The sequence below is a fragment of the Homo sapiens genome, chromosome X, assembly GCF_000001405.40.
Source record: "Homo sapiens chromosome X, GRCh38.p14 Primary Assembly".
NCBI classification, from domain to species: domain Eukaryota; kingdom Metazoa; phylum Chordata; class Mammalia; order Primates; family Hominidae; genus Homo; species Homo sapiens.
In genome coordinates this window covers 120,537,667-120,564,190 of record NC_000023.11, presented here as the reverse complement: position 1 = coordinate 120,564,190, position 26,524 = coordinate 120,537,667, and the positions used below count along the sequence as shown (strand labels likewise).

The 26,524-nt window shown below is 38.1% G+C and overlaps 1 protein-coding gene and 1 non-coding gene across 5 annotated transcripts in view, besides 7 other annotated features; one reads left to right on the top strand and one right to left on the bottom strand.

The window, feature by feature from the left end:
- CUL4B (cullin 4B) overlaps positions 1-26,524 on the top strand; it is a 51,675-nt gene that overhangs the window by 11,342 nt on the left and 13,809 nt on the right. Inside the window, exons 1-15 of one of the 4 annotated variants that reach the window (NM_001330624.2) lie at positions 2,738-2,819; positions 3,566-4,108; positions 6,152-6,267; positions 16,952-17,055; positions 17,575-17,644; positions 18,674-18,747; positions 19,548-19,710; positions 19,988-20,077; positions 20,382-20,464; positions 21,158-21,225; positions 22,471-22,589; positions 23,629-23,821; positions 24,819-24,923; positions 25,421-25,531; positions 25,982-26,067. In NM_001330624.2, coding sequence (NP_001317553.1) covers positions 2,792-2,819; positions 3,566-4,108; positions 6,152-6,267; positions 16,952-17,055; positions 17,575-17,644; positions 18,674-18,747; positions 19,548-19,710; positions 19,988-20,077; positions 20,382-20,464; positions 21,158-21,225; positions 22,471-22,589; positions 23,629-23,821; positions 24,819-24,923; positions 25,421-25,531; positions 25,982-26,067 — 1,953 coding nt within the window. In that variant the 5' untranslated portion in view covers positions 2,738-2,791. Of the gene's footprint in view, positions 1-2,737; positions 2,820-3,228; positions 4,109-4,292; positions 4,413-6,151; positions 6,268-16,951; positions 17,056-17,574; positions 17,645-18,673; positions 18,748-19,547; positions 19,711-19,987; positions 20,078-20,381; positions 20,465-21,157; positions 21,226-22,470; positions 22,590-23,628; positions 23,822-24,818; positions 24,924-25,420; positions 25,532-25,981; positions 26,068-26,524 lie in introns of those variants that run through there. The other 3 variants (NM_003588.4, NM_001079872.2, NM_001369145.1) reach the window with 3 other exon arrangements.
- Positions 2,390-3,274: an enhancer, noted in NCBI's record as "H3K27ac hESC enhancer chrX:119694772-119695656 (GRCh37/hg19 assembly coordinates)". NCBI's record gives its function as "activates a minimal SCP1, AML or CMV promoter by ChIP-STARR-seq in primed H9 embryonic stem cells {active_cell/tissue: H9 hESC(primed)}" and the evidence as "EXISTENCE:reporter gene assay evidence [ECO:0000049][PMID:30033119]".
- Positions 2,390-4,160: a biological region, named in NCBI's record as "H3K27ac hESC enhancers GRCh37_chrX:119693886-119694771 and GRCh37_chrX:119694772-119695656".
- Positions 2,580-2,629: a silencer, noted in NCBI's record as "silent region_20968". NCBI's record gives its function as "represses an Ori minimal core promoter by ATAC-STARR-seq in GM12878 lymphoblastoid cells {active_cell/tissue: GM12878}" and the evidence as "EXISTENCE:reporter gene assay evidence [ECO:0000049][PMID:35858748]".
- Positions 2,930-3,009: a silencer, noted in NCBI's record as "silent region_20967". NCBI's record gives its function as "represses an Ori minimal core promoter by ATAC-STARR-seq in GM12878 lymphoblastoid cells {active_cell/tissue: GM12878}" and the evidence as "EXISTENCE:reporter gene assay evidence [ECO:0000049][PMID:35858748]".
- Positions 2,983-3,277: an enhancer, noted in NCBI's record as "tiled region #11856; HepG2 Activating non-DNase unmatched - State 1:Tss, and K562 Activating DNase matched - State 1:Tss". NCBI's record gives its function as "activates a minimal TATA promoter and a strong SV40 promoter by Sharpr-MPRA in HepG2 and K562 cells {active_cell/tissue: HepG2 | K562}" and the evidence as "EXISTENCE:reporter gene assay evidence [ECO:0000049][PMID:27701403]".
- Positions 3,275-4,160: an enhancer, noted in NCBI's record as "H3K27ac hESC enhancer chrX:119693886-119694771 (GRCh37/hg19 assembly coordinates)". NCBI's record gives its function as "activates a minimal SCP1, AML or CMV promoter by ChIP-STARR-seq in primed H9 embryonic stem cells {active_cell/tissue: H9 hESC(primed)}" and the evidence as "EXISTENCE:reporter gene assay evidence [ECO:0000049][PMID:30033119]".
- Positions 13,571-14,770: an enhancer, noted in NCBI's record as "MED14-independent group 3 enhancer chrX:119683276-119684475 (GRCh37/hg19 assembly coordinates)". NCBI's record gives its function as "activates an origin of replication core promoter dependent on BRD2, BRD4, P300/CBP and CDK7 cofactors, and independent of MED14, by STARR-seq in HCT116 cells {active_cell/tissue: HCT116}" and the evidence as "EXISTENCE:reporter gene assay evidence [ECO:0000049][PMID:35650434]".
- LOC124905273 (small nucleolar RNA U13) lies at positions 19,773-19,876 on the bottom strand. The gene has a single exon (XR_007068437.1). It is a non-coding gene; the product is annotated as a small nucleolar RNA U13 (small nucleolar RNA).

The following is a 26,524-nucleotide window of genomic DNA, read 5'->3' as shown; positions in this document are numbered from 1 at the left end:
GCTGGGATTACAGGTGAACACCACCATGTCCGGCTCATTTTTGTATTTTTAGTGGAAACGGGGTTTCACTATATTGGCCAGGCTGGTCTGGAACTCCTGGTCTCATGTGATCCACCCATGTTGGCCTCCCAAAGTGCTGGGATTACAGGCATGAGCCACCACGCGTGGCCAGATCTGTGCTTTTTAAAACCAACATGTAACTCAGAAGACTGAAGGGCTTAGATAACCATGTGAGATAGGGAACTATTATTACTAGAATGTAGTTAAATATTAACAGGACTCAGCTATCATTTAGGTTAGTAGAAAAGTTTATCTTTGTATGGCAAAAGCAGCTTTCTCTTATCTTTATGTCCATTCCCTTTCAGTTGCACTAATATTTGTAATTTTTTAAAATGGCTAGCACTTCATATACCCTCCTAAAGATTTTAACTACATGAATTAGAACAACCTTGTTCATTAAATCCTGAAAATGAGTCAGTTAATCCTCCCTTATAAAGACACAGCATTATTTTATTCACATGCAATGAAATACTCAATTCAATAAGCATTTACCCTGCATTTACAGTGGTTCAGCATTTTGTGAACTGTGAGACACGATAAAGGAAAGTTCAATGTATTAAGGTGTCTTTCCTGGCCTTAAGAGTTTACTGTTTCTATTTGGGCAGCAAGAACTATATGGTAGGCCCAGCACTTTGGGAGGCTGAGGCAGGCGGATCACTTGAGGCCAGGAGTTCGAGACCAGCCTGGCCAACATAGCAAAACCCTGACTCTACTAAAAATACAAAAAAAATTAGCAGGCGTAGTGATACATGCCTGTAGTCCCAGGTACTCAAGAAGGCTGACGCACAAGAATCGCTTGAACCCGGGAGGCAGAGGTTGCAGTGAGCCAAGATTACACCACTGCAGTCCAGCCTGGGCGACACAGCAAGATTCTGTCTTCAAAACAAAACAAAATGAAAAAAACTATGTGGTATATTCAAAACAGATAGGAGTGCTTCCATCTGTCTCCTTTCAGGCCCCCATCTCCCTTCTCAGCGGTTCTAAGTTCCATTAGAGCCTTGCTTTCAGCAGGCTGTCATCAAATAGCAATGATATTGTCTAATAATGCCAAAGGTTGATTTGCATTTTAATCAGGGACTTTTCAAGACACAAAAACAAGTGGGCCTGTTTAAACAAAGTTAGAAAGTTGATTTATTTGCAGGGTTCTGATTCACCTATCACAAGGTATACCATACAAGCTGCTTTTACTCCACTCACAATCCTGTCACCCCTGGTTTGTAAAAGCTCTGCTTGCTGGATTGTCTCCCTGCTATCTATGATCGCCTACAGAGTAGACTCCAAATTCTTGGCTTGGTGTGCCAGGCACTTTTGAGCCTCATCTTCCTTACTCCCAGCCAGACATCCTACTTCCCAGCCTCACTGCACTTTCCATGTTTCCATAAACAGGCCTGGCCCTTTCACTCCTTGCTTTGCCCTTGTTTCCGTTCCCCAGAATGCCTTTCATCCTGTTCCCTCTTCTCTTTTTGGCAACTCCCACTTTGAGACACAGCATAAACATAATCTCTGTAGAACTCTTCCTATTCCAGATTTCTCCCAAATTTCTTGTTTTGCCTCTTCTGACAGCACTTTGTATATATGTCATATTATTGTTATGGAAATTAGTTTTGAAACTATCTTCCCCTACTGGCTTCTCAAGGGCAGAGACCTTGCATAGTCTTACCATACATGCTAACTGAATGCTTTTGCAGTTAGAATGATCAACAGGTTGGCAAATTTAGTTTTTGATATTGTGTTACCTCCCTCTGAGAATGCCCCAAGGTTAAGTAAAAACTCCCAACAGGGAATTTACAAGGTTTATTGTTGCTAATTTAACCAAACTTAAAGATTTTTTAAATCAATAATCAATTGTAAAGCATGGGGTCATGAAACACATTAGTAGAAAACACTGACTTTTGCCGATATGGTTCTAAAATGTCTCCTTTGGGACAGCGTGTAAACTGAGATTTGGCAAAAGAAGGAAGTGGGTCTTAGCTTTGTTGGGTCTATAAATTACTGAGTTAAGGACTGATAGAGTGGGGGTTAGGACGATCCTGGGCATAGTGCTGGGTGGGTGAGGGGTTAGTTACCTTTCCATTTCTTCGCCTTAGAATACACACTTAATTTGGCCAGCCAGCTTAGAAAATGCTCCTGGTAGTAAGATAAAAGGATTTACAGCTACATGAAAGAGAAAGGCATCAAAATTCAGGCCTTATTCAGCCTTGGGTCTGTGGTGCCTTGAGATAAAAGAGAAACAATTTATACCGGCACCGAATTAAAAAGTCCTTTTCTTCCTATCTTAGCTCGTTTTCTTCTCCTTTCCTATCTTAACATAGGGACATTCCTCTCCAGCAGCGGGCATAATGGCATGATTATGTTTTCCTCTATTTAGGGTTACTCCCCTAGCCTTGCAACCACTCCTTATTCTTTCATCTCTTTCAAAGTTTCTATTCTCCCGGACCCTTACGTTTTATTCCGTCCCTCCCTCTCTCCTCCTCTTCCTCCTCCTCCGTTTTCCCAGCTAGCTCACTCCGCCCCTCGCCGTCACTACCTTCCCTCCCCCGAGGCTCCTTCCCGCTCCTCCCGCCACCCCCCCCACCCCCTCGCCTTCAGAAAGCTCCAATCAGGAGCTCCGAAGGTGTCTCGAAGGCCCGCCCCCTCCTCCTATCCACTTTTCTTCCCCCCAATTTCTCCCTCCCCCCTTCCCCCCCCCACTCAAGTCCTGCGGACCTGGGGGCTTCGGGATCTGGGCGCTATGAAAAGTGTCTGCCCAGTCACTTCCGGTAAGGGCGCTGCGGCGCGAAGCTTCCCGCGGGACCGTTAAGGAGGGAGTGGGAGTTCCCGGTGGGCCAGGGAAGGAAGGCGCTGCCAGGAAAGGGGATCGCGAAGGGGAGCGGGAGCAGGAGCGAACTAGCGCGAGCGTCTGGGGCACTTTAGCCGCCCCTTTCCAGCCGCCCCCTCACGCGCGAGCTCCCCCGCCCCCCGGGCGGCTGCAGCGCTTCCCTCACCCCCACTCCCTGAGGTTGACACCGCCCCTCCCTCGGCGCCGCGTGACCGGAAATGGCGCCATCTTTAGCCTCTTGTGCTATTGACAATAACAAGCCCTGGTTCTTTCCCCCTCCCCCTTTCCCCCAACCACAGCCTCTCCCCTCCCAGGGAGAGGGAGAAAAGGAGGAGGAGCTGCAGCCTCACAGACTCGCTGAGTCGCTCCTGCAGAAAGGGGGGGAGAGAGATCGAAAAGCAGGGGAGGGGGACGGCACGGCCGTTTACCTGTCTGCCTCCTCATTCGCTCTCCCCCCTCGTTCTGCTCACTCCTGGTGTCAGCCTATCCGCCTTCCCAAACCCTCCCATTCCCCCGGTGTAGCCCCCCCCTTCACTTTCCTTCTCGTCCTCTGTGTTTCTCCTCTCTTCTTTCTTCCCTTCCCCCTCTAGCATTGCTACCTTCTCTCCTACACGCACGCAGGCATATAAACGTAGGTTTTTGATGCTCCTCTGCCTGTTGACCCCGCTATTTTCATGTTTCCAACAGGTTTTTCTTCCCCCAGTCCCTCAGCTGCTGCTGCTGCTCAGGAGGTCAGATCTGCCACTGATGGTAATACCAGCACCACTCCGCCCACCTCTGCCAAGAAGAGAAAGTTAAACAGCAGCAGCAGTAGCAGCAGTAACAGTAGTAACGAGAGAGAAGACTTTGATTCCACCTCTTCCTCCTCTTCCACTCCTCCTTTACAACCCAGGGATTCGGCATCCCCTTCAACCTCGTCCTTCTGCCTGGGGGTTTCAGTGGCTGCTTCCAGCCACGTACCGATACAGAAGAAGCTGCGTTTTGAAGACACCCTGGAGTTTGTAGGGTTTGATGCGAAGATGGCTGAGGAATCCTCCTCCTCCTCCTCCTCATCTTCACCAACTGCTGCAACATCTCAGCAGCAGCAACTTAAAAATAAGAGTATATTAATCTCTTCTGTGGCTTCGGTGCATCATGCAAACGGCCTAGCCAAATCTTCTACCACCGTCTCTAGCTTTGCTAACAGCAAACCTGGCTCTGCTAAGAAGTTAGTGATCAAGAACTTTAAAGGTAACCAAGGCCAAAATCCATAATCACCTAATAAGGATTTGACACTCGAGGGGTCACGTGCTCTATTTATGTTAATATATTAAACAGTTTGGAGGTGGCCTAATGTTTTATGCATAATCAATGAGGTGGAGGGGAGGTCCTTTTTTGGTGGAGGGTTCATTTTCCGGGGGTGGTTAGGATCCTTGTGCTGAAGCATACACCGGGTGTTTCTGTGCAGTATTTTGAGGTCTTTTTCAACCTATTGTATTTAATCTGTTATTCCTTATAACACTGACAATCGGTATGATTGATCCGGATTTTGCAGGTGAGAAATTTGTATTCTAAAGAGGTTTATTTATTTCAGGTGCATAGCGAGCCTTGGCATTGCTGGGATTTTTATTTTTATGCTTCAGTAGGCCACATTATCCAATGCCTAGAAATGCAGGTAGCAATAGTGATCTTTTTATGCTCAAATAAGATTTATAATTAGATTTATACTGTATTCATGAAACTCATTTGGAAGGAATATTTGAAGAAAAATTTATGTTCTCTGCATTTCTTTCCAAAGGTAGGGTTTGAAAGTGAAAAACATTGTGTATACACAGAAGTAGTAACTCTGTGTACCACTAGTCTAAAGATAGGAACAATTACTACATCTATTTTTTCCATCACTAAAATGGATTTTAAAGTATCGACCTGCAGCTTTTAGGAAAATTTGTTCAGACCGTGTTTGAGATATGTGAGGAGAGTATTATGAATACATTGAGGCAAATATAAAATCAGCAATTTTTAAAAATGTATTTGAGCTGAATTAATTTTTATTTGTTGAATGTGTTTCTGTTTTTCTGACTTACTTTTTCAACACCCGTAACTGCCAGGTAATCAGTGCTACAGTGTTTATTAAATAGAGAAGTAAATGAATGAACTTAAGTAATATTTATGAGATAAGTGCTTTGTGGCTGAATATTAGTATTGAGAAGATTAGGTTCTCTATGCTTGTGTTTTTAACATTGTGTGGAAATCAGGAGTATGCTCTATTTTGTCTCAAGCAGAGGGCTATGGTGTTGTCTATTTTTAACCCTTTCTTTTTTATATCACTACCTTCCCATACCCAGGCTCTCAGTTTCTGATTTAATAGTAGAGCTTTCTGAAGTCAATATGAATTGTAATTGAGTAACGTTTTCATTATTTCACTTAAAAATATATGGATTTTGTAGCTAAAGATTTTTAAATGAGTTATGATCCTGGTTGCATTTTCAAATTGGTTTCAGAGATTTTTTTCTCTCCCTCCTAAAATAAAAGCATATTATTAAGGCATTTGGATATTCTAATTAAAACTTTTTTCCCCACACTCATTGCTAGTCAGTGAAGTTTAAAGCCTAGAGTAAGATGTTTCTTTCTATTCTGAAAATGCAACATGGTTTCTGGAGTCATTTCTTTCAGTCTTTAAAAATTTCACTCTGCTCGTAAATGTAGTTTAAAACCTGAGTTAAGATGTTTCCATTTCTATAGATGCTGCATAAATGTGGGGGTCAAACAGACCTGAATTAGAATCCCAGCTTTGCCATTGACTAGCTATGATGACCTTGGGCAAGCTTACTAAATGAGTTCCAGCCTCAGTTTCCTCGGTTGTAAAATAGATTCCTCAGGGTATTGTTGGGAAGATTAAGAGGCTTATAAAGTACCTTGCACATAGACAGTACTTTAAATCTCAGGTTAAAAATTCATGTCGACTTAGGTTTTACACATGATGAAATAAGATCAGGATTGTTATTTTTTATGGTCATTCTTGAATTTTTATTTTTTTGAAGCAATACAATCAATAGGAGAAAAACCTCACCTTCAATTTTAATAGGTGAGTCAAAATGACTTAAACAGTATTATGGCATTTCAAATTTTATTCTTTATATTAAGCTTAAATACAGTGGTTACTTTAATGATTAGGTGTAATAGTTATAAAGATCACAATTTACCCTAAAATTAGTAATGCTATTATATTTTATGAATCTTTGGTTACTGTATCTGACATGGTATTCTGATGCCAACCTTTTACATATCATCTAGATAAGCCTAAATTACCAGAAAACTACACAGATGAAACCTGGCAAAAACTGAAAGAAGCAGTGGAAGCTATTCAGAATAGTACTTCAATTAAGTACAATTTAGAAGAACTCTACCAGGTATGTATTAATATGCATAACCAGATTTGATTAACATAAATTGAGGTGGGATGTATATGGATTTTGCTTTCTGAAATAGGTTCTTAAGTAGACTTTTGGTTCCCTTCTAATTTTAGTTTCTCCATTAATTGATGAACTCTATAATTAGACCACGTATTCTCACATAAACCATGGGTACAGTCATACCAGTATAAGTTGTGCTTATATTTGACCCTCCTGATAAGAAATTACAGTTACGTGTACCTTGGTGTAATAGAAGTTCTACCTATAATGTAATCCTATAGCATGAATCCCAAAGATGATTTCTGGTGACATGTCATTCTATTGTGATAATTGTTTCTTAGTTGTGTTACCTACCCATAGGAAAGGCCTCAAGACATGCAGATATTATTCATATCCTTTATTCTACCTCCTTCTTAATAGTAGACTTTGCCATTTCTTTTTCTTGCTCTTTACATTTTTCTAATACCTGGGCTACAAGACGCACCTTAGCCCAGAAATGAGTAGCAGTTTGTAGTCCAGCAGCTTAGTCTGAGGTTCAGATTCTTTACTTAGCAAATGGGTCCTTACACTTAAATATAATTTTAAGGGCAGTTCCTAAGGGCAATCCCTTGCTACCAAGAAATTTTTCCCTACTGTGTATTTGACACACAACCAATTCAAGAAGTTACTTTCATTAGAGTGTCAGGGATTTGGTGTTAAAAGATACTTCAGGCCGGGCACGGTGGCTCACACCTGTAATCCCAGCACTTTGGGAGGCCAAGGCTGGCAGATCACCTGAGGTCAGGAGTTCGAGACCAGCCTGACCAACATGGAGAAACCCCGTCTCTACTAAAAATACAAAATTAGCCAGGCAATGTGGTGCATGCCTGTAATCCCAGCTACTCAGGAGGCTGAGGCAGGAGAATCGCTTGAACCCAGGAGGTAGAGGTTGCGGTGAGCCGAGATTGCACCATTGCACTCCAGCCTGGGCAACAAGAGTGAAACTCCATCTCAAAAAAAAAAAAAAATATATATATACTTCAGAGTACAATAGCTTGAATTTTTGTATTGATGAGTACCTTGTAAGAAATTATGTTGGTTTTATTTATCAGTATTTGTATATTTTAGTTGCAGAGCTAGTATGGTGATGGGTAAACCTGGATTAGGAGTCAGAAGATGGGTTTGGGATCTAGTTTTGACTGCTGTTACCCTCATAATCTTGGGCCAGGTACTAAAGCCCTCTCAGTTTTTTTTCCTGTTTTTTTAAGAGATAGGGGTCTTGCTATGTTGCCCAGGCTGGTCTTGAACTCCAGGGCTACAGCAGTCTTGTCACCTCAACCTCCCAAGGTGCTGAGATTACAGGCATGAGCTACCAAACCCAGCCGTCACTCTCAATTTAAATTTCCTCCTCTCTAAAGTAGAGGAAATAATAGTTTGCCCTACCTGTCTCACAAGGTTGCTGATAAGAATCAAATAAGATATTTGTGGAAAACGCCTCCAGGCACTATAATCTTACAAATATAAGATGGTATCACGAGTCAAACTTTTTTACAAGCCACATTATAGCTTCTTCACTTGTAGTATGACAATTGAGATCACCAGTTTCTGTTGCTGTGAAAATTAGTACACGCAAAATACTCAAATCAGTGCACAACACATAGTAATAATGCCGTGTAACATTATAAGCATTATAATGCTATGCAAATGTCGGCTAGTAGTTGTAGTACTAAGCTATTACTTAAGAATAAGCCCATTTCATATGGCTCTTTTGGCGTATTATATATGCGTCTCTTAAAATGTACAACAATAAAAGCCAAAATATGAAACTGACTTGGAAAGGCCTTAAGAGAGCATGTGGTCCAATATTTTTTCTTTGTGGTGTCCATGACAGCCTGCAAAGGGGATTCATCTCGTATTATCTCATATAAGCATTATGGAAACCCTTTCTGGGGTACGTAGGGTAGTAGTTACTATCCCCACTTTTTTTTTTTTTTTTTTTTGAGATGGAGTCTTGCTATGTCACTCAGGCTGGAGTGCAGTGGCGTGATCTCGGCTCACTGCAACCTCCACCTCCCGGGCTCAAGTGATCCTCTTGCCTCAGCTTCCCAAGTAGGTGGAATTACAGGCGCCTGCCACCACGCCCTGCTAGTTTTTGTATTTTTAGTAGAGACAGGGTTTCACCATGTTGGCCGGGCTGATCTCGAACTCCTGACCTCAAGTGATCCACCCGCCTCCACCTCCCAAGGTGCTGGGATTACAGGTGTGAGCCACCGCGCCTGGCCTATCCCCACTTTATTGATGAGGAGACTGAGTCTCAGAGAAGTTGAATAACCTGCCCAGAGTCACATATTGGCAGAGCAGGGGCAACTCAAACTGAGATGCTGGATTTCTAGTTCATTGCACTTTTACTCCTGTACCACCTCACTAATATACCCTGGTACTTTGAATACCACTGTAGTGCAGTGTTTGAAACAATTAAATTGTTTTACTTTAGGGAAAAAGCTCTTTATAATTTTAGTAGTATTTTTATCTGTGCATGCATAAGTGGTGTTTATTTGGATAGTATATGGTGTTTATTTGGATATGCTGGTATACAGCATATTTAATTTCAATAATATTTTATATATTCCATATTTGTAACAAATGTTTATTGTGGTTATTAATTAACCCTATTTACTTTACCTTGAATATTTTTCCAGAGCTTTTGATTTGAAAATACTTTTCCTGATACATTGATTCTGTTAAATCTTTTTCTTTCAAGAGCATAGAGCTTGCATCTCTTGTTTTTGTTTTCTTGTACTTCGTAAGTTTTACCTGCTGTTGTTCAGTTGCATTTCTTTAGCCTAGTCACAAGTCTTATAACTTCACTGTTTGCATTTTTCATAATACCTTACTGCTTTTGCTATAATGAATTCAAAAGCATTGGTTTTTAGCTCTTTTACTGTTTTTGACCTTAATTTTATAAATGTTCCTTTGGATTGTTCTCAGAAAGATTATTTTGAGATGTTCAAGTTCAAACAGGAGGATAAAGGAGGTAAAGCTATTTCATATAATCTGGACTTCAGGTGCTTGTTTGATTTTGACTCATTGAAACGTAATTAGAAGTACTCTCTCAATCTACCTGAGTGGGAAATAAAAACATAAGAAAAAGTACTCTTCTAAAATTGAAATAATGTGGAAATATGTAGTTATACAAAAGTTCTCCAAACCCCTGTCCCACCCTCTTTCTCTGAGGTAAACACTTACTGGCATATATCTGCTTAGAACTTACTTCTGCATGAAAAAACATTTTGCTTTAAAGCTTTAAGTATGGAAGTCCCTAGTGTGGGTTGCATGTACTGCCTACTAAGTTTTTAATTTCTATAAAAGAACATGCTGTTCTAAGTACACTTGCAGTAAGCAAACATTGTCTTTTTAAAGTAATTTTAAATTAGAATTGGACCTGAGTTTTAAAATTATCTTTCCTTGACAACCTTGAGATCCTGTGGGTGTGAGGCAGTGATTAATGTTTTCATTTGACTGTTTTGTTTGTTTGCGTGCTTGTTTTTAATTGACTGCAAATAAGACTGATTAAATGCACTGACTTTTGAGCTGTCCAGCCTGCCTTAGGTTACAAATCTGTCACTCATCATATAACTTTGGGCGAGTTACTTCTCTAAGTCTTGGTTTCCTCATTTACAAGATGGTGAGACTAACGGCTACCTATATGGTAGGGTTTTTTAGACGTAAATGAAATATTGCAAAAAAGTAATTATCACAGTTCCTGCTATATATTGGTATGTGTCATCAATGATAGTAGATATTTGAGTCTTTAGAAAAGAAATCTTTATTTTAAAATTACATTTTATTTTAGAGCTCTGAAGCCACACGATTTTAAATTCTAAATCTACACTGGGCCAGAGCAGCTGTCTGATAAATAGATTACATTCCAAATGTGCTTCAGTAGACACCATTAGCGAAATTGAAAAAATAATAGAAAAAGACAGGAACTCTCTAGGAACAGTGTCCCTCTACGCTTAAAAAGAATGTGTCTTGTTTTCACATGTGGTATCATACAGTTGGAATTTTGGTTTTGGTGTGAGTTTTTTTACTATTAATAAGTAATATTTTAAATAGGATTATTTTCATAATCCTATTATGAGCTCATGTTCTCAACTTTTGTATGAGTAGCCGCAGTGTTTTGTTTTGTTTTGTTTAAATAGAGATATGGGGGTCTTGCTATGTTGCCCAGGCTGTTCTCGAACTCCTGGCCTCAAGCAGTCATCCCGCCTTGGCCTCCCAAAGTGCCAGGCTTACAGGCATGAACCACCATGTCTGGCCTACTACAGTGTTTAAGATCAGCTACCTTTTTTGGAGATGCTGGAAGTTTGTACAGGAGCGTGTAACATTTATCTTTCCTATAAATCTCTAGCTATTTTTAAAGTCAAGCCTAGGCCATACTTCAATTCTGATGAAAATAATTTTATTTATTATTAATAATGGGAACTGTAGTTACCTTTTTGTGAAATAAACCTTAAATGATGAACCTTTCTATTAACGATTCATTTATAGAGTAGATGACCACAGGACTAGAATCAAATAGTATAGGTTATTATCAATTGTAAAATCTGGTTGCTTAAGCAGTCAGTGATTATTAAGAAAGCAGTTAGATTCTTAGCATTGTTGATGACTAGCTGTTGGAGTCTGTGTAACTTTTGTCACCCTGTTGATGTCTTAAAGCTTAGTCTATTATGTATTATGTATTTCTCTTTTTACTGAATCGTTAATCAGTACTATTGTTGCTGTTTTTTAAAATGTACAACTAAAATTCTACTCTTTGTTATTTTGAAATATACAATAGATTATTAAATAATAAAAAATTTTAAAATGTGCACTTACAAATTCTTAGTCCTTGATAATTTTCAGTCTTATTTAAGTCCTGTTTACTGGAAGTAAAAAGAAAAGGAGTTTAGGTTTCATTGTATAGTTGGTTTCCTTTAAACAGATTCTTAGTTTTTGAATACTTAGAGTATCTTAGCCATATTTACTTGACATAAAAAGAGAGATAATGTAGATCTTATTGCTATATCAGTTGTTGAATTTTTTGTTATGTGCTTTACTTACTATCTGTAAACATAGCTCGAAAACTAAGACTCCACTCCTTAGACCAGTGACCAGAGTTCAACACCCTGGTGGAAATTCAGTATCTTTTTTATTGTCTGTTGTTCAGTAAATATTTGCATATGTCATTTGCTACACGTTTATATATATTTTTTGACTGTGTTTTTTTTTCAGACACTTTTTTTTAGCTCATCCTTGTGAAGAAAGACACATTTTTTATGTATCCTGTGGATTTTGGAGGGGAAGGGCTGGGATTTGGAAGAATAAGGGTTAGAAGCTTGCTAGAATGCCTGTATTTTATACCTAAGTACCTTCAAAGGATTTAAGGCAGCATATTTACTGGTAATTAGTGGGAGCTTAAATAAAAAGATAGTTTTATTAAAAAGACTTGTAAGGCTGGGTGCGGTGGCTGACGCCTGAAATCCCAACACTTTGGGAGGCCAAGGTGGGCGGATCACCTGAGGTCAGGCATTCAAGACCAGCTTGGCCAACATGGTGAAACCCAGTCTCTACCAAAAATACAAAATTCAGCCAGGTGTGGTGGCACGTGTCTGTAATCCGAGCTACTGGGAAGGCTAAGGCATGAGAATCGGTTGAACCCAGGAGGCAGAGGTTGCAGTTATCTAGAATCTGTTTATTACAAATAGTTGTTTGTGAGGCAAGAGGTTACTTCCAGAGATTCCCAAAGTGTTTTATTAGTGTAAATAATAAATACGTAATGCATAATATGTAAAAATACATAAATAATACATAATATTTAAATAAAACAATGCATAATATGTAAAAATACATAAATAATAAATACATAATATTTAAAAGAATATATTTGTAAAAGTGCTTTTCAAAGATCTAGAGTAAAATAGAGCTTATCTCAAACACCTTCTTATTCCTGTTTCCATCCCAGCATGTAATAGGATGAAGAGTACTTAGTAAACAGTCATTCCTTGTTCAATCCATGACTGCTTACTGTGTCCAAAACTGGACTGATACCTTGGGGTTATGGAAAGCACTTAGTACTAGTAAGAGAGCATAAGTACCTACCCTAAGTTACTTATGTTCTAATAGGTTCATGAAATTAATAGTTCGTGACCAGCATTTTTTAAAAAGAAATGAAATAGCAAATATCAGAATGCATCACATAGAGTAATGATGTGTAGGTTCGTGAAGATTTTATTTTAGTTACATAAATTTATGTATGATGGATTGTGACATTAGATTTCCTACTGTGGCTTTGGGTCAAAACATTTTGGAAGCCACTGTTTTACAGACACCACTCCAAATCTTGCCTAAAGGTGAGAAAAGTAGAGTACTTGGATCAAAGGATGTGTGAAAGGTTATAATCGGGTGGCCAAGGTGGCTCATGCATGTAATCCAGCACTTTGGGAGGCTGAGGTGAACAGTTCACTTGAAGTCAGGAGTTCGAGACTAGCCTGGCCAACATGGTAAAACCCCATCTCTACTAAAAATGCAAAAAAACCTAGCTGAGTGTGGCGGCGCATGCTTGTAATCCCAGCTACTTGAGAGGCTGAAACAGGAGAACCACTGGAACCTGGAGGCAGAGGTTGCACTGAGCCAAGATTGCACCCCAATCTGGGCGACAGAGCAAGACTCCATCTAAAAAAAAAAGAAAAAAGAAAAGTTATAATCAGACATGAGATGAAAGTGGTAAGATTTGCCTTGAACACCATGCTAAAAAGTATGGTGGTGGGGAAGTTAGAAAGGCTTTTATTGGGGAAGGCAAGTATTTAAGTTTTTTGAATACCTGATATATTCCTCTGGTTCAAAGCCCCGAAAGTATTGCAGAGCATGTAGTGAGAAGTCTCACTTCCACCCCATCCTCCAGTCCCCTAGTTAGTTCTCTTTGTGACAGACATTATTAGTTTTTTGGGTATCTTTCCAGAGATGTTTTATATACGTAAAACGACTGTGTATGTTTTTATTTTGTTCCTTTTTTACATAAATGATAGCAGACCATGTACCGGATAGTTCTTTTTGTTTGTTTATTTATACCTATTACGAGATTGCTCCATCACAGTACAGGAAAAGCTTGATGGAAGGTTGTTGAGGAAGGAAAATGACTAGATCCGGTCTATAGGTTAAGCAGTCAAGGCTAAATTAGAAAAACAGAATGTTCCCTCCGAACTTGACCTCAAAACTCACCTTAGATGCTCCTGCCTTTCTTGCCTTAAAGTTCTTAAACCACCCTCCAGCCAAACACAGGTGAGACTCTGTGCTGTAAAGCCCAGCTTAATTCTCGATTTCTCACTATTTCCACTAACTTTTTATCTGTTTCCCTGTGGGTCTTTGGGACTCTGTCCCTTTACCTCTTCCCAGGAAGGCTTTTCTGACTTGCCCTCCCCTAAATGCTGGGTTAGGGGCCTCATCTCTCTGCTTATCCTCATCATAGCATCTAGCACACTCAATCGTAATTACACGTTTTCTGGCAACTTTTCTCATACTAGAAGCCCTTTCTATGTGCAGGACACATTGCTAGAGTTTTTTTTGAATACTTCATGTATTCACTTGGTTCAAAGCTCAAAAAGTATTAAAGAACTTATAGATAGATGAACACACAATGTCTTTCTGTCATTAAGGAGTCAGAGAGACAAGATATACACATAAAAAGATAAGTAGTTTTGTGTAAGAAGTGTCCAGTGGTTGGGAGATAAATAGTGTTGACTCAATGACTAAGTCAGTGTGGTATGATGGGTGCGAGTGCCATGTGAGTCACTGGTAGCTGAGTCAATTAAGAAGAACTTATTGGAAGAAGTGGGACCTAATTGAGTAGTAAGGGAATATGGTATCTTGTGTGAGAAGATAAGTAGATGTGCCGAGAACTGTTTTATTTGAGAAGGGAACATAGCAGAAGGAAATGGGATAAATAGGACTTAGAGAAGTACCGGAAGTGCACAATGTGGAAAGATGAAGTACGCACTAAGTCATATGACAGAATCTAAGCAAAGCGATAAGAAATGCTGAGAAAACAGTCATTCAGAAGGAACGGTGAGATACAATGAGAGGAATACTAAAGGTGGAAGGGGGACAGTCCACAAAGGACCTGTGTGAACAGAGAGGCACATGAAATAAATGTAAATTCCCTTAAGCATTTGTGGCCTAGCCCCAGGTCACGTGAAAAGTGGGCAGGCCAGCAGGGTCTCAGCCTTCTTATTCCTCCATAGCTGCTCAATCTAATTGGCCTGCTGTTTCCTGATGAGGTGTGGTGACTTGTCTCGTGGTGTAAGAGGTTTCCTTTAAGCTCTGCTCTGCTCTGCTCTTCTCTTCTTTTTTCTTCTCTTCTCGAGACAGAGTCTCACACTGTTGCCTGGGCTGGAATGCAATGGCACATTCTCGGCTCACTGCAACCTCCACCGCCCGGGTTGATGAGATTCTCCTGCCTCAGCCTCCCGAGTAGCTGGTGCACACCACCACACCCGGCTAATTTTTGTATTTTTAGTAGAGACAGGGTTTCACTATGTTGGTCAGAGTGGTCTCGAACTCCAGACCTCATGATCTGCCCGCCTCGGCCTCCCAAAGTGCTGGGATTACAGGCGTGAGCCACCGCGCTCTGCCAAGCTTTCTTTTCATTTGCTGATTTATTTACTGGACCTGCATATTGGGAATGTGACTTCTAACTACATATTTTTAAAATTCCACTCCAACCCACAGAACTTGGATGCCCCCCTAGAGTTCATTTTAATGGAATTTTTTTCTTCTGTTGTGGTGAGAAAGGAATTCTGGTGTTACATTTAAGTCATTACCACTTGGAATTATAGATTATATCAGAGTTTTCCCAAAGAGTTTTAGCATGCCTGTTGTTTTAAATTTGAAAGTCTTTTATATATGCATAACAGGAAACTTACGGAAATCTGAAGGTCATCCTTCTGGAATCTGAGTATAAAAGAAGACCAATTCAGTTATTAAAGTGAAGTAAAAATGCAGTTCTTTCTTTTGTAATTGGCGTTAATTCAGTTGTACAAATTTTATTTATTTTTTATTTTATTCCTTTTTGAGATGGAGTCTCTCTCTGTTGCCCAGGCTGGAGTGCACTGGTGTGATCTCGGCTCACTGCACCCTCCACCTCCTGGGTTCAAGCAATTCTCCTGCCTCAGCCTCCTGAGTAGCTGGGATTACAGGCGTGCACCACCATGTCCGGCTAATTTTTGTATTTTTAGTGGAGACGGGGTTTCACTATGTTGGCCAGGCTGATTTTGAACTCCTGACCTCAAGTGATCCACCCGCCTCAGCCTCCTAAACCGCTGGGATTACAAGCATGAGCCACTGCGCCCAGCCACAGATTTTAAAATCTATATTTAACTATTCTTAAACTGAAATGTTGGAGAAAATTCCTTGGTATTATATCATACTCATTATCATACTACTAGCAATAATTTCTGCTTTGTTCTGTTCAGGAAAATCCAAGAACGTTTAAGTAAATTTTAATTCAATTGTAGTAGGACTGCCCAACCCATCTGATACATAAACAACAGGTGAAATTCTTTTTTAAACCCAAAATGAAGCTCTGCTTGTGAAAATGATTAACATTTTAAACAAGACAGCTTTTTTATTTTTGAGACAAGGTCTCACTTTGTCCCCAGGCTAGAGTGCAGTGGCGTAGTCATGGTTCACTTCAACCTTGAACTCTTGGGCTCAAGTGATCCTCCTGCCTCAGCCTCCTAAATAGCTGGAACTACAGGTACACACCACTGGGCCCAGCTAATTTTTAAATTTTTTGTAGAGATGGGGTCTTGCTTTGTTTCTGTATTAGTCAGGGTTTTCTTAGAGGGACAGAACTACAGAACTAGTAGGAGATATATATAAAGGGGAGTTTATTAAGTGTTAAGTTACACGATCACAAGGTCCCACAATAGGCTGTCTGCAAGCTGAGGAGTAAGGAGAGCCAGGTTGATTCCCAAAACTGAAGAACTTGGAGTCTGATGTTCGAGGGCAGGAAGCATCCAGCATGGGAGAAAGATGTAGGCTGGGAGGCTAGGCCCTTCTCTCCTTTTCACTTTTTTTGGCCTGCTTTATATTCACTGGAAGCTGATTAGATTGTGCCCACCAGGTTAAGGATGGATCTGCCTTCCCCAGCCCACTGACTCAAATGTTAATCTCTTTTGGCAACACCCTCACAGACACACCCAGGATCAATACTTTGTATCCTTCAATCCAATCAAGTTGACACTCAGTAGTAACCATCACAGTTGCCTAGGCTGTTCTAGCCTGGCATCAAGCAATCCTCTCACCTTGGCCCCCCAAAATGTTGGGATTACAGGCATGAACCACTGTACCCAGCCCAAGTAGGATTTTCTTTGAGCAGCATGTTGGCACTCAAAAAGTTTCAGATTTTTGAGCTTTTTGGATTTCAGATTTTTAGATTAAAGATGCTAAACCTGTAATTTGTTCTTTTTTGATACAGTGCATTGGTTATGAGAAAGTTTGCCACCCACATTGATATATTTTGTTGTTTTACCTTGTGTCTTAAGTGGATGAATAACCCTTTTTAATAAGCTGATGTGGTAGAAATATCAAATTAATAAGAATCTGATGTAAATAGTTGAGAAATCCTTCATCCTCTCCTTAAGAAAGTATTTTAACCTTGCAGGCTGTAGAAAATCTCTGTTCTTACAAGATTTCTGCAAACTTGTACAAACAGCTGAGACAGATCTGCGAAGATCACATCAAAGCACAGATTCATCAATTCAGAGAATATCCTTTTTAAAACAAAAAATCGTGAATAGTTTTGTCTTCCTCTCTGTCCCTACCCCTCACTGTTTAACCCAGCTTGAAGTAGAATGCCTGTATTTTGTAGGTTTGTCATTTTTTGTGCCTTGTGTTTCTCGAGAAAGAAACACATTTTGACTTTTCAGCCTTAATTCGTGTCCAGGACTACGTGTGGTATTCATGTAAATAAGATGTCCTTATGTCTTTATCCTTTTTGCCCTATCAGATTTCCACTTGAGGAAAAATAATCTCCTAAGGGAAATAGTAAACTGAAAACACGATGTTCAGTTATGTCTAAGACTTGTTTTTAAAGGTGTTTTTTAGTATAAACTATGTTTTTTTTTTCTTTTACAAATTAGGAAATAGCACTTTGGTGCATAATCAAGTGCCATTTAGTTTCACTTAGTGTGCAAGGTATTCATGTTTAAGACTAATATGCTCTCTGTCACATGGCACATATGACTTGTACCAAACGCTTTAAAATATCCTTAACATATGTTTCAGGGATTCATTGGATAGCGTTCTTTTTTTAAAGAAGATTGATAGATGCTGGCAAAACCATTGCAGACAAATGGTAAGCTGGAAAAAGTATTGTATTTCGGCTAAACATTGTATTAATAGTTAAAAACATTTCTTCAAATACAGGAATGTTAGTTTTTAAAACTTAGCAATAGGGAGATTGCTTCAATATCTATTCCTTTTCTTTTTTTTTCTTTTTTTAAAAATTTATTTATTTTTTATTTTCCCGTAAGTTATTGGGGTACAGGTGACATTTGGTTACATGAGTAAGTTCCTTAGTGGTGATTTGTAAGATTTTGGTGCACCCTTCACCAGAGCAGTATACATTGCACCATTGTAGTCTTTTATCCCTCGCCCCCCTCCCACTCTTCCTCCCAAGTTCCTTTTCTGAATTGGAAACTAGTTTTGGTTGAGTTTTCTATTTTAAAACCACAAGTTACAGGTAAACCTGCATTTCAGAATGTCTTGCACCTTAGGTTCATTTTTATTTTTGTCACACTTACCAAAAATGTATTTATCTCATTCATTAAAAAGCTACATTTCGTCTGTCACTCTTATTTTTTTTTCTCTCTTGATGATTATCCTGTCCACTATTTGATTACCTGTGAAGGTGCCTGATGGTCCTGTGTTTTAGTTTATTCAGATAACAACCTTTTCCATTTTTCTTAATCTGGTTTATACCTTATATTCTACAGATTAAAATCTTAAAATCCATCACCCCTCCCCACCCCCACCCCCTGCCAATAAAAACCCTCACATGTGCAATGTAAGGCAGCTTCATTCCCTAGCACTGTGGCGCAGGAAGAATTATATGAGCGTCCCCTTGATTTTTCAGTTACTTCTCAAGCAGTAAATCAGAGGGCCATTTTAAGTGTCTTTTTTCTAGAAAACACAAAAAGGATTGACTGTTGAGTAATAAAAACTATATGGGCATATTCTCAGATAGATGTGTTTATCTGCATGTTTGATCTTAGTAATGTAATATATATACAGACAAACTCTTCAGTTTTATTCTTATTGAAAGCAAATATTTCAGCTTCACAACATACAAAACTTGTTTGATTTCTTTTTTTTTCATTGGCAGATCATGATCAGGAGCATTTTTTTGTTTCTGGATAGAACTTACGTTCTTCAGAATTCAATGCTACCCTCCATTTGGTAAGGATGCCAGAAAAATATGAAAAGATTGTTCCAAATCATACTCAAATCTTAATTACACTAATGAAAGTGTATAAGCTATACTGTGAATATTCTAAAAATTCACATTTGGTTCTAGACTTTCCTTTGTAGCAGTTTTATCTTCCTAATAATATGTTGCCTATGCTAATATTGAAGATAGCTAACATTCCCTGGGCATATATTAATTTATGAAGAAGTTTTTTGTTAGCCGAGGGGACTAAAGTTTGCTCTGGAATGTCTATGATTGTGATTCATTTTGCTGCTGACCATCAAGAGTTCACTCATTTAACATTATGCAAAAGTCCATGTATACACGAAAATAGAATAGTATCATGAACTCTTCCCCCTCCCATGTACCTATCATCTGCCTACAGCAATGATCAGAATTCACTGATTCTTCAGTATTGAAACCAGTTGATAAATAACCAAATAAGCTTTCAATACCAGTACAGTGAAAACTGTTTTATGTCTTAGAACTAATTTTGTCTGTTGATTTGAGCAAAGAAGAAATCCACAAAAAGAAATAATACAACAAAACTTAGTTATGGAGGAAAATAGGAATTTAGCTTCAATTCTCAGTAAAGGCAAAATGAGTTTCCTGTGTTCTTTAATCTAATAATGTTATTCAAAATTAAATGTGTGGATTTTATTTTTTGACAATTGCTGCTTCAAAGCCCTGGAGCCCTAATTAGCATGGGAACATGTGGTAAGAAGTTAAGCAAACCTCTTCAGAAGTGGTATTGTCAATTAATTTAGGTTATATGTGTTTTTTATTTTAGGGACATGGGACTGGAGTTATTTAGGGCTCATATTATAAGTGATCAGAAAGTGCAGAATAAGACAATTGATGGCATTCTTCTCTTGATTGAGAGGGAAAGGAATGGTGAAGCAATTGATAGAAGTTTACTTCGAAGCCTTTTAAGCATGCTGTCTGATTTGCAAGTAAGTTAACTACTACACCTACTATACAGAGCTGATTGCTATCCTAGTTTTTTTTCCCCCCACATCAGACAGGTAATGTGCTGATGTCATAACAAGGTTTGAAGGAAGCACATCTCATATATGAGCATAAAAACCCAATCATCATGCTTCTCAACTACAAAAGGATCCTAGCTTGATGTTTAAAAACCAAATTCATAATGCTGTTTACATAGACATAGAGGACATTTAGTAAATATTTGCTAAATAAATGATCTCCTTCATTTTGTTCCCCCTCCAGATTTATCAAGATTCTTTTGAACAACGATTTTTGGAAGAAACTAACCGGCTCTATGCAGCTGAAGGCCAAAAATTAATGCAAGAAAGAGAGGTATTTAAAAATCATGACTAATAAATTCTCACTGTCTCTCACAATAGACCTTACTTTGTAGAATATAAGCTTCCCTTTGCATTTATCTTCCCAACATTGTGATGCTCTTCTCTCACTTAGGTGCTCCTTTCTTTTCTCTCTTCTTAAAGGCCAGAATTCTGGATCATAAACTCTACCTATAAATTTTTACATATGATTCTACCCTGTCACATTTGACAGGGCCACTTCCAGGATCTTTTGGACTTGACATTTTCTGAATGATTTATGGGGAGGAAAACAATAATGTAAAAAACTATCTTTGTAGGTTCCTGAATATCTACATCATGTTAACAAACGTCTAGAAGAAGAAGCAGACAGACTTATTACTTACTTAGATCAGACCACCCAGTAAGTACCACATGCTGAATTTAATAGTCTTAAACTGTCGTTAAATCACTTGCAGCACTTTAGCCATCCTAAACATGTTAGTAACTGTTTTCAGGTGTGATTTGAAGTGTTAACAGTTGTTTTCATAATACAAACTTCAAGTTATTCTTTTCCCTAGTTAATTAGTTTTCATCCAAGGATTCGATTATTAGGGGTGTGTGTGTGTGTGTGTGTGTGTGTGTGTGTGTGTGTTTAGAAGGTAATTTAGAAATAATACTAGAGGCTGATGTGACCTTTAAACTCTTCAGGCCAATTAAAATTCAGTGGATTCCCCTATTTCTGTGCTTTCCTAAGTATTAATATTGCCAGTCGAGGGGCCTCTGTATGTAGTACTTCTTTACCTTCCTAATAAAAGTAGCAAAACTTGGAAAAAGCCGACTACAGCAAGGTCTTGGAGATATTTATTTCGTTATGTAAACCAAATTCTAAAATATGCAGTGTTTTTTTAAAATTTTTGCCTGTCAGTTCCTTTATGTCTTTTTCTTTTAGGCATAAAGTATAGTAACTCTGAGCACCAATAAATTTATACATAGGATAGGAATCTTGAAATCAACATAAAATGAGCTATTTGATTTTTTTCCCCCCTCAGGAGAGGCTTTACATTTTCTGGAAGTCAAACGTCAATAATACTAACCTTTTTTTTTTTCCTTGTAGGAAGTCATTAATTGCTACTGTAGAAAAACAACTTCTAGGTGAACACTTAACAGCAATTCTTCAGAAAGGTAATTGGCAATTTGTAAATAAGAGATTGCTTTTTAAATGGTAGTGGCAAACTAGTAGGGAATTTTTAAAGATGTTGCCCTTTTAAAAGTTTGATAGCATGTGGCTGCATTTCTGAGGATGGACACAATCCTTATTAATCACAGTAAACTTCCTGGAGGTGCCAGTTTTCTTATCTGAAAGATACAGGAACTAGAAGAGAGGGATCCACAAATACCAATAAAAAAACAGTGGTTGATATGTGCCTGTAGTATCAGCTACTTGAGAGGCTGAGGCAGGAGGATTGCTTCAGCCCAGGAGTTTGAGGTCAGCCTGGGCAACATAGTGAGACTCTCGTCTCTTTAAATAAAATAAAAGAAAAAAAGTGGGAAATTCTTGACTTAATATGTAAGCTTTCAGTAAGGAAAGGTATTCCTTTTTACACTAAAGCGGTGAGGGTTTTTTGTTGTTCATGGCATGTCAAACCAAGCACTTCTAATCCCAAGTGAATTTAGAGTATACCCTACATTTTACTTTGAGAATGCCGCAAATAGGTAAAAGCCTTACCTTTCTCCCCAATAATATTTTCTTTTGTATAAAAATTTATATATTTAGAAATTTAATGCAGTTATACTGTTATTTCATCCTGGAAATCAAATATTTATTAGAGCCTCATTTAAATTTGACCTATTTATGCATGGCTTTTGATATATCACAGGCTATATCCAGTATTCTGAAATATAACTATGTACATAATATGGCTACTACATATATGAGGTATTTATAATGTATATTTATGTAAGCCAGTTTTTATAAGTTTGTTTTTGCCTCTAATCTATCATGCTAAATGGCACAAACCATTATGGAGTTAACCATTTTTCTTTTTCTTTTTAATTTTTTTAACTTTTTGAATTAAAATAGAGAGGGGGAGGGGGTCTTACTGTTGTGCCCAGGCTGGTCTTGACCTCCTGGCTTCAATTGATCCTCCTGCCTCAGCCTCCCAAAGTGCTGGGATTACAGGTGTGAGCCACCGTGCCTGGCCTGTTTTTATTTTTATAGCGACTAAAGTCTCTATATTTAGTTTTTACCCAGAAAGATGGTTGGGTTTAATTCAAAGGAAATCTTACATTACAACTCACATACAGACTAGTCATAGTTCAAACCAGTATCACAATAATGATTATAACTCAAATTTTATTAAAATGTCTGATAATCTTGTTCACTTTTTTGTTCACTATATTTTAATGCCAAAATGTTTTAAAATACAGGTTTAAATAACCTCCTTGATGAAAACCGAATTCAAGATTTGTCTCTTCTGTATCAGCTCTTCAGTAGAGTTCGAGGTGGAGTTCAGGTTCTTTTGCAGCAGTGGATCGAATATATCAAGGTATTAACAATTTACCTGTGATTTTTCTCTCTTATGGCTTATCTACACATCAAGAGTGCATATTGGCAAGCATTTCTTGTTTGATCCAATTTTTTTTTTTTTGAGACAGAGTTTTGCTCTCGTCACCCAGGCTGGAGTGCGGTGGCACGATCTTAGCTCGCTGCAACCTCTGCCTCCCAGGTTCAAGTGATTCTCCTGCCTCAGCCTCCCAAGTAGCTAGGATTACAGGCATGCACCACCATGCCTGGCTAATTTTGTATTTTTAGTAGAGACGGGGTTTCACCATGTTGGTCAGGCTGGCCTTGAACTCCTGAACTCAAATGATCCACCCGCCTTGGCCTCCCAAAGTGCTGGGATTACAGGCGTGAGCCACCACACCCGGACTTGATCCAGTTCTTTTAAGGGAATTTTAAATTTGTTTAAAAAGTAATGGGAATTTTGAGAACAGTCAACCTGAGAATGGTAGCTGTGTGGCATATCAGCTATAAAACCTGATTGATGGCTGACATAATTTCTGTCTCTACCACTTAAAGCAGTAAATGTAGAAAAAGACTTTGAACCCCAAATTTCTTTCCTTTCTTCAATCTTACACTAAAGCCAGATTGCCATTTTAAGGAAGTTGAAAGCTGACTTCTTTAAAAATAAGGAAAAGATCCCAGAGGCTTCTAATAATACCCTGTTATGATATCATATGCCCAGTGATCATTGCTTACTATTTTTGTGATTATAGATGAGTGGTTAACAGTGTGGATATTTAGCACTTTATTTTTTTGTCCTCATTTCACTATCAGCTTTATTTTGCCAGGTGCAGTGGTACATGCCTGTAACTCCAGCTACTTGGGAGGCTGAGGCAGGAGGATCCTTTCAGCCTAGGAGTTTCAGACTAGCCTGGGCAACATAGCAAGATTCCATCTTAAAAATAGCTTTATCTTACTTTTTAAAGATCTTTAAATATATATGCCACTTAAAATATGATTTGGGGATTGTTTTCATTGTAGACAATTCGATTACAGTAAAAAGTGGTAATTTTTTGTTTTAGGCATTTGGCAGCACTATTGTAATTAATCCTGAAAAAGATAAAACCATGGTTCAAGAATTGCTGGATTTTAAAGATAAGGTTGACCATATAATTGATATCTGCTTTCTGAAGAATGAGAAATTTATCAATGCCATGAAAGAAGCATTTGAAACGTTCATTAACAAAAGACCAAATAAACCAGCTGAACTTATAGGTATGTTTTCCAGTCCTTTTTCCAGTTGTTTAATGATGTTCTTTGAGTCATAAAATCTCAATCTGAAATTTTTACCAGGTTGTAGTATTACTAATTCCTGATTTGTTTGAGGTTGCTTAGCTGGTATATCAAGTTTGAAGAGTGTTTCTAAAAACCTGGATGTAAGTACTGAAAGCCCACATGTCAAACATAATGTGCTTTCTTTCAAAGACAGTACGTTGGACACTATTTACCTTTATTGATAATAAGCTAATCTGTTTTCCTAGCCTAATGATTTAAAAATGAGGCAGGGTGTTATTTCAAGCTACAAAAAAGGGCAGCATGAAATTACAGTTGTCAGTGAAAAAGAAAAAAGTCCAGGGCAAAAATAAACCTAATAATCTGGGCCCATTTAGCATAAGGATGTGATATACACTACAGTGCTTCTCAGGTTTTTCCACCCAAGTACCCTTAGTGTCAGAGGAGGAGGTAACCTGAGAAGGTCTAGGGTCCTCTGCCAAAAGGATGAAATTTTGTTGCAACCTATCTACTATGTATCCGTAAACATGTAGCAAATTTTACCTTCTACTCTACGATGTATCTGGTTTATTTTAATAGAAAAGTAATGTTTAAGATTGCTTACTATTCCTATAAAATGGATACTCCAGAAGATTCCTCATGTCTTTTCGTGGCTTGGATTACATGATGCCCTCACAGGGCTACATGAGACCTCCCCCACAGGATATCCGTATCCTATTTTCATAAACATCAGTATAGTGGGAAGTACATTTGATCTGGAGTCAGAACACTTGGGTTTGTGTTCAGGCCCTGATGTTATTAGCTCTATGGCACTGAACAAGTCAGTTGATCTTCCTGACTTTGGAGACTTTTAAAAATGCATATAAATTTCTGAAGTATTGAAAAACTCAGTGTATCATACTCCTCTTTGGGTATATATAGTGCCCAGTACCTCGTGTATTCCCCGGTTATTAAACAACAAACTTTTCCCCCATTTTAGCTAAGTATGTAGATTCAAAACTTCGTGCAGGCAACAAAGAAGCTACAGATGAAGAACTTGAGAAAATGTTGGATAAAATTATGATCATATTTAGATTTATCTATGGTAAGTATTTACTAATGTTTTAATATTTTTCTTTTAAAATAGCACTCAACAGAGAAGCTAGCAAGTATATTCAAACTGGAGGGAATATTTATTTGGAAATTACAGATTTAAAATTGTGTTTAATTCATTGGGGGGATACGTGAGGAATGTTACCTGATTGTCCTATGCTTTGGCTCTTCTAGTATTAAGTGCCTTGATTTTTGCTACTTGGCTTAATCTCTTAAATATTGGCACCAAAGCTACCAGTCCACAAAAGCTTTTCTGAAGAAAAGTTAATGCAATCAAGACAGTTACATGCAAAAAAGTTTTACAATAAAGACTTCGAAATGTCTGGCACAAAAATGGATCTCTACTGTTTCTTGCATTTAACAAACTTAAATAAAATGTGTAAAGTAAAATAACTTGGAATAATGGTGTGCTTTATTAAAGCACTTTAAAGCAGTTTTGTCAGTACTTTTTATTGGAATATTATAAATTTTGCATTTCTTTTTACATAGGCAAGGATGTTTTTGAGGCCTTCTATAAGAAAGATTTAGCCAAGCGCCTGTTAGTCGGAAAGAGTGCATCTGTAGATGCTGAAAAATCAATGCTGTCCAAACTTAAACATGGTAGGTTTCTCATTCTTTCTGTTCCTTTTCTTTGATTCCTGAAGGAGAATGTTAGCTTTTTACCCTTTCAATCGATTTCCTCTTTTGTCACTCATGTCTATGTATATATGATGAAAACATAAATTGAGCAAGCTCCTGAGGTTTCCAACTTATTGTACATAATATCCAGAGTTGTTTTTTTTAAGATAAAGCATTGTTCTTGGTTTTATTATTTGTATAAAAATTTCCCATTTATTTTATACCTAAATAGTAGATAAGGTTACTACAGGATTAAAGAGTTTGACTCTGAATTAATGGGGCATACACTTTGGGGTAAGGATTTCTTTTTATTCTTATGAAAGTTACAGATCATACTTCATACTAAAGTTTTGTATTTCGTGTTTCCCACTTTTAAACCTCTTTTGTTTTTACCACTTTAAAATATTATACATGTACAAACATCTTTAATAGAATGCGGAGCTGCTTTCACCAGCAAACTTGAAGGAATGTTTAAAGACATGGAACTTTCTAAAGACATCATGATTCAGTTCAAACAGGTAAAAGTGAGTTAAACTCTTAATTCCTCAAACTTAGTTGTATTTAGTTATCTGCTTGCTATGATTTGTACTAAAGAGGATAAATAGAAACGTGTTTGTTGTAATTCATGGCAACTGAGGTGATATTCACAGTAGAAAAAAAAATTGGTGAAATATAAGTATATTTGACCTACTTTAGGATTTATTTTTGACAAACACCCAGAATAACACAAAAATAAAAATAAAATGTATTGAACTGAAGTCAGTACAAGAAGAGCTATAGTGGGAAAAGGGCTTTCCTCAGCATCTTATCGTTTGGTAATTTGCATGTTCAGAGCTTGCAATGGGGAGAGAGGAGAAGTGATAATGCAGCTGTATAAAAGCCTTTGGGGACATTGGGGATAGAAAGCTAGATCCACAGTTTTGAAGATGTAGGTAGAAAGTAGTTTTGAAATGTTTAAGATCATAGGTGATAATG